The 12,948-nt window shown below is 35.7% G+C and overlaps 1 protein-coding gene across 11 annotated transcripts in view; it reads right to left on the bottom strand.

The window, feature by feature from the left end:
* MARK1 (microtubule affinity regulating kinase 1) overlaps positions 1-12,948 on the bottom strand; it is a 136,326-nt gene that overhangs the window by 61,297 nt on the left and 62,081 nt on the right. For 8 of the 11 annotated variants that reach the window (XM_017001305.3, NM_001286124.2, XM_005273134.6 and 5 more), the window contains 2 exons: positions 4,786-4,834; positions 3,302-3,367 (listed from right to left, as the gene is read on the bottom strand). In XM_017001305.3, coding sequence (XP_016856794.1) covers positions 3,302-3,367; positions 4,786-4,813 — 94 coding nt within the window. In that variant the 5' untranslated portion in view covers positions 4,814-4,834. Of the gene's footprint in view, positions 1-3,301; positions 3,368-4,785; positions 4,863-9,122; positions 9,262-12,948 lie in introns of all 11 variants that reach the window. The other 3 variants (XM_006711326.5, XM_011509562.4, NM_001286128.2) reach the window with 3 other exon arrangements.

Genomic DNA, 12,948 nt, shown 5'->3' with positions numbered 1-12,948 from the left:
TACATGTATATTAAAAACTCACAAAATGGCTTAAAGTGTTCTTGTAAAGTATAGCAAAGTGGTAAAAACAAAAAAACTCAGACTTTAGAATCAGACCAATTTTGGTATGAATTTTGTTTTAGCCCTAAGTACTACTGAAAGACATTATTAGGAAGATTTCTTAACTTCATTAAGACTCAGTTTCTACCTACTGTCTACTCACATGGTTGTTGTAAGGATTAAATGAAATAATGCATGTGCTTAGCACAGCGACTGGCATATAGTAAGCACTCAATAAATTGCATTTTTGTACCTAGGTATACAGATATATTACATATATATGCAATATCAATCCTAGGATATAAATAAAATATTAAAAATCAAATACGTAATGAATGTATGTCACATGAAACTAATACATCTACAATGTTAGACAGCATATTATATAATATTAAGCATACTTAAGTGATTAAATGGGATGATGAGAACAGAGAAATGAATGGATGCTCTAGTTGACTCATCATAGTAGTTAATTCTAGATATGTGGTAATAGTTGTTAATTCTAGTTAACCCATCATAGCAGTTAATTCTAGATATCTGAGTTTAGGCTAGGAAAGATATATACAAGAGTTCAAAAAATTTGGATCTACTCTTAAGTGCTGCCTAGAATACACTTACCCCAGGTATTTACATGACATAGTCCTGTACTTATCATATATTGTTTGTGTATGATTTACTTCCCCAACTAGAATGTAAGTGTCTTGAGGGTAGGGACTTTGTCTTTGCTCACTTATGTATTCCCAGCACCTAGAACATTACCTGACACATGGTAAGCATTTTATAAATGTTGTTTGAAAGAACAAAAGGAAGAATAAACACATCATTCCACAGTAGTCCTGAAACCTACTTTTAATAGGCTCCTTTGGATTAAACATGGTTCAAAATAAAAAAAAGATTTCTTTGATTTTCTAATCACTGAAAATTTTCATTCCATTAGTGAACCAGAATCAACTCTTGGCAAAGAGGCAGTTGTCTGACTTAATTCTTATTCACATTACCTTTCTAGTGTACATGTCAGATTTGATCCTAAACTAAGTAGAAATTTCAGAGGAAAAATATTTAGTGTTTTATTTTCCAGAGTCACCTTGCCATTTATGGATTAAAAAGGCAAGAAAATCATTCTAGATTTACTGCCACAGAACCATGATGGTTTTTGTTACAGAATCACTAACTTGCAAACTCAAAGAAAACCTATCGCAGGAATCAGGATTTAATGAGACTGGCTGGTGTGGTCTGAATTCCTGTACCCATTTCTCTACACTACTCCCCACTGTGCCTCCCAAATATGCTACTGAAGGAGAGTGGTGAAGGCCTTACATACTCTTACTCTAGCCATTACTCCCCTTCATTAGCACCAATAGAGAGTTGACTGTACTTACCATTAACCATTAAGTCAGTACACATATTAATATTAACAAAGCCTTGCAGTGGGCCTTTATAAAAAGAGAAGGGTGTCTACAGAATTTTAGCAGTCTATGATTTCCCATATCAAAGTGGGTATAGCCCCTTTCTCTAAATTTTATATCACTAAAAGGAAGAAAAGAGTCTAACTAAACTAAAAATAATAATTGGGGTTCCCATGAGACAGATTATTATAGCAATCTAACTGAAGGACATAAAAATAGAGAAATAGTTCATTATGTGGTATCTGTAGATTCATTAGTTTTATTATAGATCCACATTTTATGGAAATTTACATGGCTGTTTTAATACAATTTTTAAAATCCTATCATAATAAACATTAATGATAGATTTTCAAGTTAAGTCAAAGAACCTACACTGAAATATTTTTTTCAGGTGACAAAAGTTTTGCAAAAAAAAAAAAAAGACTAAAATATTCAATCTGTATAAACAACTGCAAAAGCAATTAAATATATTAACATCTATAGTAGTTTTTTAGAAATATGAGGCCAGGCGCGGTGGCTAATGCCTGTAATCCCAGCACTTTGGGAGGCCAAGGCAGGCAGATCACGAGGTCAGGAGATCGAGACCATCCTGGCTAACACGGTGAAAACCCATCTCTACTAAAAATACAAAAAAATTAGCCGGGCACGGTGGCAGGCACCTGTAGTCCCAGCTACTCGGGAGGCTGGGGCAGCAGAATGGAGTGAACCTGGGAGGCGAAGCTTGGAGTGAACTTGGGAGGCGGAGCTTGCAGTGAACCGAGATCGTGCCACTGCACTCCAGCCTGGGCTACAGGGCAAGACTCCGTCTCAAAATAAAAAAAAAAAAAGAAAAAGAAAAGAAATACGAGACAGTATAAATATAGTTTAGTTGCTACAGACTAGATAAATCCTTTTTATTCTAGTTCACATAAAATCTGAATCACCATAAAAATTATAAATTTCATTAACTAAAAGAGCTCAATAGTAAGTTCAACACTAAGTTTTTCTATTGATTAGCAAAAAATCAACCAGCCAAATAATTTCAGCTGCCTTCTTTCTTCTTCAGTTGCTTAAATCCTGAGCCCTTAAAACCTCCCTTTAAGTATTCTTTATTTTTACTTATTAAATGATTAATTCCATAAATTTTCAACCCATTTCTGAGAAAGTGAAGTCCTAAGTCTAAAAGAAAAGTGATTCTGAGCTGACACATTTCTCGTTTAAGGGAAAGTGCAGGAGATGAAGATGATTTTCTATCACATATCAGTGTTTCAAAATCATTCCTATTTTTGACACCATGATAGTTAAAACATATGTGATATTCTACTACAAATGCATCTTGCTATCTCCCTGTCAACTCAGTCCTCTAACATATAAAATGTACAGATCAATACTTGTTTAAATTGAAATATTTAATTCACTTTATGAATTATCTTGGAAATGTATGTATATTGAGAATCTGTCATATGTGAACAATCAGTGAAATAAACACTGACCTAGAACAAGCTTTTATTATAGATTTTATTAAATACATTCTGTACTTGAGATTCCCTGCTGATAGCCAAGAGTTTCTAATCATGATATGATATAGTAAAATTTAGATAAGAGAATCAATACATTTATAAGATGAAAATACAAATTTAACGTTTCAAAAAATGTCCCTAAGTAAAATGTAAATAAGCCAAAAATTCCATTTATAATGTAAGATCGAAAGGTCTTAAAAGTAAACACTGAATTTTCCTTAAGATGTAATTTAAAGGCATTTAGATAAAACAATAGATTCATTAACACTGAAGACATAAATGTCATAATGAACTCTTAGGTGTTAACATTTCTGTATGTCTCAGCAAAGAGAACTTTTCAATCACCCTCATTCTTACCCCCACTCGCGTATTCCATGACTAAATAGAGAGTCTTCTCTGTTTCAATAACTTCAAACAATTTTACTGAAAAAAAATTAGAGATATAACTCTATAACTGTTAGCACAGATTGAATATGCTTTAAGAAAATCTAAGGTAACACTAAACTAGTAGAAAATTTGACTACTTGCTAAACATTATTAATCACAATTTTAAGTTCAAAAAGTCTCTCAAAGATTATTACTCCTATGACAGAAAACTACTTACCACAAAGTGATTTAGAACCAACTTCTTGAGTTGAAAAAGTTAAGTTTCTAGGATTAAAAGGTCATTACTTTTTCAAATTAGAATAAGGTAATAAAAGGAACTCTTAAAATCAGAAAAACAGAATTTAAACTGAAGTTTAAAAAGAGACTATGTTACATTACAGTGAGACATCAAAAAATGCTAAATAATCTTTGGTACAGAAACAAAAGAATTTCTGTATTTCTGTGATATTATGAAAGTTTCTGGTTAGAAAAATTACCAAATTATCAAATTTATGTAGTTCAAATATTCACCACAAATAAATACTTTAACAACTATATACAGATAAGATTTTTAAATGTGCAAAAAAAAGTGTTTTAAAAAACAGATTTTAAAAAGAATTTTACTTGTCACAATCAAATGATTTCATATAATAATATATCTAATCAATACGTTTATTTGCAAAGGGGGAGAAATCAGAACTTACTGAAAAATTTTACTAAAATTGAAATCAACTTTTTATTTTCTTTAAAACGCAAAGTTATTTTGCCTGTAAACCTATGATCAAACCCAAGTGCATAGTATCAAAATATCTGAAAGCCATTTTTTTTTTATAGATACCTAAATGACCTGCAATATCTATTTAGAGACTTTTTTTTGAGACAGGGTCTCACTCTGTTGTCTAGGCTGGAGTGCAGTGGTGCGATCTTGGCTCGCTGCAACCTCCACCTCCCAGGCTCAAGCAATCCTCCCACCTCATCCTCCTGAGTAGCTGGGCCTACAGGTGCGCACCATCACTCCTGGCTAATTTTTGTATTTTTTTGCCGTGTTGCCCAGGGTGGTCTCAAACTCCTGAACTCGGGCAATCCACCTGCCTCAGCCTCCCAAAGTGCTGGGATTACAGGCATAAGCCACCACGCCCGGCCAGAAAGACATTTTTTTTTAAATTTAGAAACATTTAATTAGGAAATTAAAAAAAATTGTATGCATTAATTCTGAATGATATCAATTATTTTAGTGGAGAGCAGAAGATAGCAAGGTAGCAGAAAACAGCAATCTGTAGCCTCCAGTTAGCTTCTTTGTAATCTATTTTTACCCAAAGTATCACTTCCTGGGGTTATCACTCAGGTTATCACTTTTCTTCTGCTTAAATAAACTATCCTTAAACATTGTGTCTTTTCAAATACCCTCAAATTAAGGAAAACACTTCATCGCTAATTATATATATATATATATATAATATATATATATTTCATACCTATATTAGGATGATTCAGTATCTTCATTATTCGTACTTCTCGAAATAACTGTTAAAGAAAACAGGTAGATATATTTCTGTTAAAAAAAAACAAGCAAGCAGAGAGCCAATTAAAATATTTATTTGAAGAAATTAATCTGCTTACAAAATGCTACAGGATTCTGGCAATGCATTGAAACAAGATATTTTCTCAGTCCCAACTCTGTACAAACAAGCTATGTTAACTTAGACTGTGACATTAACTTCGCTGTGACTTGGTTTCTAAAAGAATTTTAAGTAGATGAACTCAAATGATCTGTGTGTGTCTGTGGTGTGAATACACTATACACAGTAAAACTTACAATTATTTAACCATTCCTTATGAAAAGCTACAGAAGAAAAACACTGAAAATGAAACTAAATGCTCCTTCATATGATTTTTACCCAGAAACCACCTTCCTTAGGGGTTTGACTCTTTAAAGTCATCTCTTCTGACTGATCAGACATTTTAATGAAAGATTCAGTAAGGTTTTTAGGTAGATTTGTAGAATAACATTAAAGAACAATAAAAACACATTTACTAATTTATATAAAAACAAAATGACAAGAAGCGACTTGAAACACAAATGTTAAAATTTTCCTCCTTTTCATTTTACTTTTTAAACAATACAGGGCACATTTTTCAAAAGCATAATTTGGTATTATTTTCTCTATGTCTTTGAGTATATGTTAGCTTCCAAATAAAGCAATTTGTTCAAGAAAATAGGAGAACCAAAAATTGGTGATATTCTGAAAGTATATTAAGACATATGCATTTTATCAGAATAAAATCTAAAGTTACTACTTTCAGAGGTGACATTTCTGCAGCAAAGATACACAATAGTCAAAAGAACACAAAAAGATGTTGAACATTATTAATCATTATGGAAATATAAATCAAAGCCACAAAGAGGTACCACCTCACACCTATTAGGATGACTGCTATCAAAAAACAACCCCCAACTCTGCCCAGAAAATAGCAAATGTTGGCGGGGATGTGGAGAGACTGGAACAGTTCTGCAGTATTGATGGGAATGACAAACGATAAAGCCTCCATGAAAAAAAATACATAGCAGTTCCTAAAGAAATTAAAAACAGAATTACCATATGATTTAGTAATTCTACTTCTGGGTATATGTCATATACCCAAAGAATTGAAAGCAGAGACTCAAGCAGATACTAGTACACCCATGTTCATAGTAGCATTATTCACAATAGCCCCGCAACCAGAGTCTATCAACAGATGAAGAGATAAACAAAATGTGGTCTATACAAACAATGGAATATTATTCAGCCTTAAAAAGGAAGGAAATTCTGACACATGATAGATACAACATGGATAAACCTTAAGAACATTAGGCTAACTGAAATAAGCCAGTCACAAAAGGGCAAACACTGTATGATTATGCTTATATAAGGTACCTAGAGTGGAGTCGTCAAATTCATAGAGATGTAAAGTAGAATGATGGTTGCCAGGGGCTGGAAGGATGGGGCACTGGGCGGGTTACTGTTTAATGAGTACAGAGTTTCTGTTTTGGAAGACGAAAAACATTCTGGAGATTGATGGTGATGTTTGAACAACAATGTAAATGCACCTTAATGCCACTGAATTGTATACTTAAAATGGTTAAAATGGTAAGTTTTGTTAGGTATATTTTACCACAATTTAAGGAAAGAAATAAAATGTGCAAAAATGAATCAATAAATGTTCACCCCAATTAAAACAAAATGACTTAAGGCTTACCTCCTACAAAAAAGCTTGCTTTCCCTAGCTATTCTCAATAATTCCTACATAAACCCAGGGAGTCTGTATGTGTGCATATGTATATTCATATAAATAAATTTTTATAAAGTCCATGATACTTACAACTTTAATAATTAAAAATTACCTATCAGTAAATAAAATATAAAGGTGGATTCATTCATGTTCAAGACAAGTACTTTCTGTAACTTTGAAACACATTTTCATTTCAAATTTGGGACAAAGAGCATACGGGTTAACCTCTCAGTACACAGGGTCTTCAGTACACTTGAGATCATCTCTTGCTCTGGCTCTGACAGTACATCTTCCTGACCATCCTCCTGCCTAAATGACCCCTCTCAGTCTTCCACTAAACCTCTCCCCTTCTACTCAACCTTTAAACATGGAGGTCCTCAGGGTTCAGCCCTTAGCCCCCTTTATCTTCTCACTCTACATGTTTCTCCTAATGATTTATCATGGCTTCAAATATCATCGATTTGTTGCTGACTACTAAATTTAACTTTATCATCCCAACATTTATATCCAATCCATATATACCTACTCAATATTTTCACTTGGCTGTCTCACAGAAATTCAAACCCAATACTTGATTTCTCACATCAAATTTGATACTGGTTTTCCCCAGCTCCATATGTCTGTCAAGCACCCTAATAACTGAAACTTTAGGATCATCCTTAACAACACCATCTCTTGAAATTTCTACATCGATGCATCATTAAGACATTTTTACTCACCTCCACAGTTTATCTCAAATCCATCAACGTCTACCCATCCATATTGACACTACTGTCACACTGAATCTCACTGGTCTTGGTACAACCATTCTGACTCTCTTTTCTACCTTCCCATCCTCCAACCTGTTATCCACACATCTTTTCTATCCTCCCATCCTCCAATCCGTTATCTACTACTTAACATCCACTGGTGGTTTCTCAATGCTATTAGAACTAAACCCCTAATCTTGAACACTGGCTACCAGACTCTAGAAAAAAATCAAGATCCTATTTACCTCTCTAGCCTTATCTCATGACTCTCAAGTGCCTACTCTGAGCCTCGTCTGCTCTACCTTTGTGCTCCACAGTCCTAATGGCCCCTTTGAGCTCCAAGTCACTGTAACTGATGATTTTGCTATTGCAGCCTTGGACAATGGGAGTCAGCCTTCACTCAGAAGCGTTCCTCAGAGTTTTGAACTCTTCACCTCCCAAACAGGGCTAACAGGTTTTAAAAAGCTATTAGCTATTAGCGTGCTACTGATTGCTTGTCAAAACTGAGCATCTGACCCACAGAGGGACAGCTGCATTCACTGACCAAATTGCCTTACTCAGGTATGTGAACCAGGAAAAGTCAAAGTAGCACCAGAAGTCATTTTATATACATATACATACATACATATACATATCTATGATACACATAAACATAATAGACTTTATTTTTATAGCAGTTTTAGGTTCACAGCAAAATTGAGCAGGAAGTACAAACAGTTTCCATATACTCCCTGTCCCCACATATGCAGAGCCTCCCCCACCATCAACATCCCAAACCAGAGAGGTACATTTGTTATAATCGATGGAGCTACACATCATTATCACTGGAAGTTCACATTTACATTACTGTTCACTCTTGCTACTACTATACATTCTATGGGTTTAGACATGTACCCATCATTTTAGTATTACATAGACTAATACTAACACTGCTCTGAAAAATGTGTTCCACCTGTTCATCCCTCCCTTTTCCCTAACCTCTGGCAACCATTGATCTTTTTATTGTCACCAGTTTTGCCTTTTCCAGAATGTCACATACTTGAAATCATACAGCATGTAGCCTTTTCAGATTGGCTTTTACATAGTAATACACATTTAAGGTTCCTCCAAGTTTTTTCGTAGCTTGATAGCTCATTTCCCTTTAGTGCTAAATTATATTCTGCTGTCTGGATGTACCATTGGTTATTCATCCATTCACCTACTGAAGGACGTCTTGGTTGCTTCCAAGTTATGACCATTATGACTAAAGCTGCTATATAAACATCCATGTGCAAGTTTCTGTGTGGACGTAAGTTTTCAGCTTCCTTGGGTAAATACCAAGGAATGCAACTGCTGGATCATATGGTAAGATATGTGTAGTTTTGTAAGAAACTGCCAAACTCTCTTCTAAAGTGGCTGTACCATTTGCATTTCCGCCAGCAACAAATGAGAGTTCCTGTTGCTCCACAAACTTGCCAGCATTTGGTGCTGTGTTTTGGACTTCTGCTATTCTAATAGGTATGTAGCAGTATCTCACTATTGTTTTAATTATCATTTCTCTGATGACATATGATGTGGAGTATCTTTTCATATGCTTATTTGCCATCTATATAATTTCTTTGATGAGGTGTCTGTTCAGATCCTTCACCTATGTGTTAATCAAGTTGTTCATTTTCAAGCCTTTTCAAGCCAATTTTTGAGAAGCCTGCTCCAATCCTCAACAATACCAGATGCCTGTGGACAGTAGGAAATGTAGAATGTTCATTAAATATCTTGTTGATTCTAATTTGTCACATCAGAGAAAGGGTCCTTACCGTGGGCAGTCCTGGAGGTCCTGGGCAGAGGGAGCCAGAAGTCATATTCCCTCAATTCCTCCTCAGGGGTCTCAGGGAGGTGTGGGCCTTGGTCTGAGTGGCGTGCCCTCAGGTCAGCAGAGGAGAATGTGCCTGGAATCTGGGTGATTATCCAGAGTGAGGGCTGAGGGGGCCTCTCACTCTGACACAGAAAGGATGCCACCCCTGCCTGGGCCTACCCAGGACTGACAACAGAAATGGAGCTCCATGGGGTCCCTTGGTCTGAGCAGGTAGTCCCCTCAGAACACATTCAGGGTTTTTACCTTGGCTTCTGACTCCACCTGAGCCTCCTCTCTGCCTACCTAACCCGCCCCAGACTCACCTCCCTGAGAACCCCAAAGAGAAACAAGGGGGCACCTCATCAGGTGACCACTGCCCAGAGACTCCCAGGCTGACAGTAGGGGTGGGGCTCTGTGGGTTAGATTTGCAGAGGATCTAGGCTTCTTATTTCAACCTATTTTTTTTCTTACTGTGGCACATGAGCAGATAAAATTCACAAGTAATATGAGCAGACAAGATTCACATATAGCTATAAAACCAAAATTCACAAATCTGATGATTCTAGGTTTTAATGTAACCAAGTAATTTTTTCCAGAAAGTCAAGTCAAATACGGTAGCTTATTATTTGATGACTTTCATAAAATCATTTTATGAGCACTGAGTAGTAAAATCAGCCATTTAAACATTTAGAAGTCATTTTATAAGAAAAAATGCTTAAGTGTAACTGAGGTAATTTTAAAAATTGAACATAATTTTTTAAAAATAGTGTTCCCCAAGCCTCCGAGAACATATTATAAAGAATAAATACAAACAGTACTTATTTTGGTTTTGCTATAAGATATAGATTTTAAAGTTTATGAACTTGTTATTAATATAAGTAGCATTATTATGTTTCATTTGTAATTTATTTGTATTATTGCTATTATATATCTCTAACAGAAAAGTCCCTGGCATCAGTCTTGCTCTCCTACACTCATATAGAATATCTAAATGAATTACTGCTTCTACTTTCTTCATCTATTCTTGCTTTCTTGTTAAAATTTTATTTATTTGTTAAGCTGTAGGAAATGACTTAAAAAATCACAACTCAGCATTTCAGTATATCAGACATCTTTGTAACTGGCCTCTACTAACTAACCTGCCAACCTTTGCTCTGCATTCCCTCTGCAACACACAGTGAGTGACATCTGTGCACCCATAATGCTCTTGGCTAGTGGTGCTCCCTGCAGCCTTACACTCCAAGCAGTTGAGAATCATGCTTACCAGAGGTTATCTAGGTCCCAAACATGTTTGCCAGTTGCAGTTACCACTGGAAATAGTTTATATATTAATTTCCTATTGATGAGTAACAAAGTACCATACCCTAGCAATTTACAACATACATTTGTCGCTTTGCAGTTTCTGCGGCTCAGTATTCCAAGCCTGACTTAACTGGGTCTTCTGCTCAGGTCTCGTAAGGCTGCAATCAACGTGTTGTCCAGGATGGTTCTCATCTGGATACTTGACTAGGGAGGAATCTACTTCTGAGCTAACCCAGGTTACTGGCAGAATTCATTTCTTTTTAGCTGTTAGTACTGAGGACCCTGGCTTCTTGGTGGCTGTCAGCTAGGGGCCACCCTTACCTCTTAGAGACTGTACATAGGTCCTTGCCAAGTGGACTTCTCCAACATGGCTATTTACTTTCTTAAGCCAGCAAGTATAGTCTCTAGAGCAAGTCTGCTAGCAAGATAGTATAATATAATATAATATAATATAATATAATATAATATAATATAATATAATATGATATAATCATGACAGTGAAATTCCATCACCTTTTCCCTATTGCATTGGTTAGAAGCAAGTCATAGGTCCTGTTCACAATCAAGGGGAAGGGATTATGCAAAAGTGTGAACATCAGAAGGCAAGAATCATGGGGGTTGCCTCAAAGTCTGTCCAATACAAATTTTACATAAACCAATGAAGTACATGTTTGTTGTTTGACAAAACAAACCAAATTGAATACTTTGGAAATACTAGATAAAAGCTGCTAGACTGCTGTCCAGCTAGGTGTGGGCAAGATAAATGCAAAAGACTGGAATAAAATCTAGGCTTCTGCTCTGATTGCTGCCCGAGTGTCATTCAATTCTCTCATTAATTAAAACAAAACAAAACTGGAAATAGTAGGAAGGGTATTATGAGCTTATGAGTGTGATCTGTACAAGGTAAATAAAGCAGAATGACAATTGGCAGAACCAAACTCAAAAAATAAATAAATAAATAAAAAGCTTTGGCCCTACATGAAAAGATTCATCAATGCATATACATTTGTGTGTACAATAGAAGTGTTAAATGTTTATATAACTTTTAATAATTCCTCACTTTAACCTGCTTTTTTCAATTAACAGCTCCTTACTGCACTATGAAAGAGGGCTTTTACTTGTACTCTCTAATTGGCACAGGCATTTCCTGTGTACTAGGAAGTGTGGCCCATTAAGCTACAACATGAATAAGCCATGCTGGTTTCTGGGTTCTAACTCCTCTTCTTTCTCTTGTCTTGACAAAGTACATCAAATTACAGTATACTGAAGACAACACTGTCATATGAATAATCTTGAATTTACTCCAGTTACTTTTTATGAAATTACTGGCAAATTTGGTAGTTTTCTCTTAGAATCGGCTGGGACATATCTCAAAACTAACAGAAACATACTGATGTTTCCTGGCAGCTCCATGTTTCAGAACAACTAATCTAAAGAAATAGACTGGCAGCAAATTCTTCAGGAATTCCTCCAAAAGTATTGGGGTGTTTTTTTATTTAATTATTTCTTAAGTTGGGTTTTTGACTGCAATTAGTTCATAAATTCAATCCCTGACTGGTACCTGGAATGCAGTTATTCCGTTCTACAAAGAACAGACATGAGCTGAGGGACAGGATTAAAATCATTTTGTGAAAACTGGGGCATCCATAACAAAAACAACACCTAAACAGAAGGTCACTCCACTTCCATCTGAAGAAGCAAGAAAAAGACGTGTAGGCAGGGCCAAAGTTCTAATCAGAACTTTAACTGGAATTTTTAATTCCAATAAAACAACAATACACAGCCATTGGGTTCCTATATCTCAAAGATGTCTTGAGTATATTGTTTAATCCTTAGTTTCCTCTCCTTCAGCAGCTTTGGACAAGGAGAGAGAAAAAAACATAAGCGATAACAAGAAGATGTGCGTGGGTTTGGGTGTGTGTTGACTAAAAATGATAGGCAGTTGTCGAAGAATGGTTGCTGTAAGAAGGAACATTAGGATGTTTTACATGGTATATTGAGTAAGGATAATGGAATACCAGATTCCTATTCCATCAAGCATCTCTCCTCACAAAGAAACACTTGAATTGTCAGCTGGATTTGGATCCCTGTTATGAAATGAACTGTGCCCCCCTAAATTCATATGTTGAATCCCTAATGCCCAGTGTGACTATACTTGGAGACAGGGAATTCAAGGAGCTAATGAAGGTTAAATAAGGTCAGAAGAGTGGGGTTCCAATCCAATATGACTGGTGTCCTAAAAAGAGGGAGAAATGTCAGGGATGAACTAGTCATGTGCAGGCCAAGGAGAGAGAACTCAGGAGAAACCAAACCTGCCTACACACCTTCATCTTGAATTTCCAGACTCTAGAAAGGTGAGAAAATTTCTGTTAAGTCACCCAGTCTGTGGTATTTTGTGATGGCCCGACTAGCAGACTAATATGATAACCCTCCAAATCTAGAGAATTTTGGCCAATTGAAAAGTACCACATCTTAAGCAAATGTCT

Source organism: Homo sapiens, chromosome 1 (genome assembly GCF_000001405.40).
Source record: "Homo sapiens chromosome 1, GRCh38.p14 Primary Assembly".
Lineage (NCBI taxonomy): Eukaryota > Metazoa > Chordata > Mammalia > Primates > Hominidae > Homo > Homo sapiens.
Note: the sequence above shows the minus strand (reverse complement) of the source record. Positions and strands in the feature narration are given on the sequence as shown.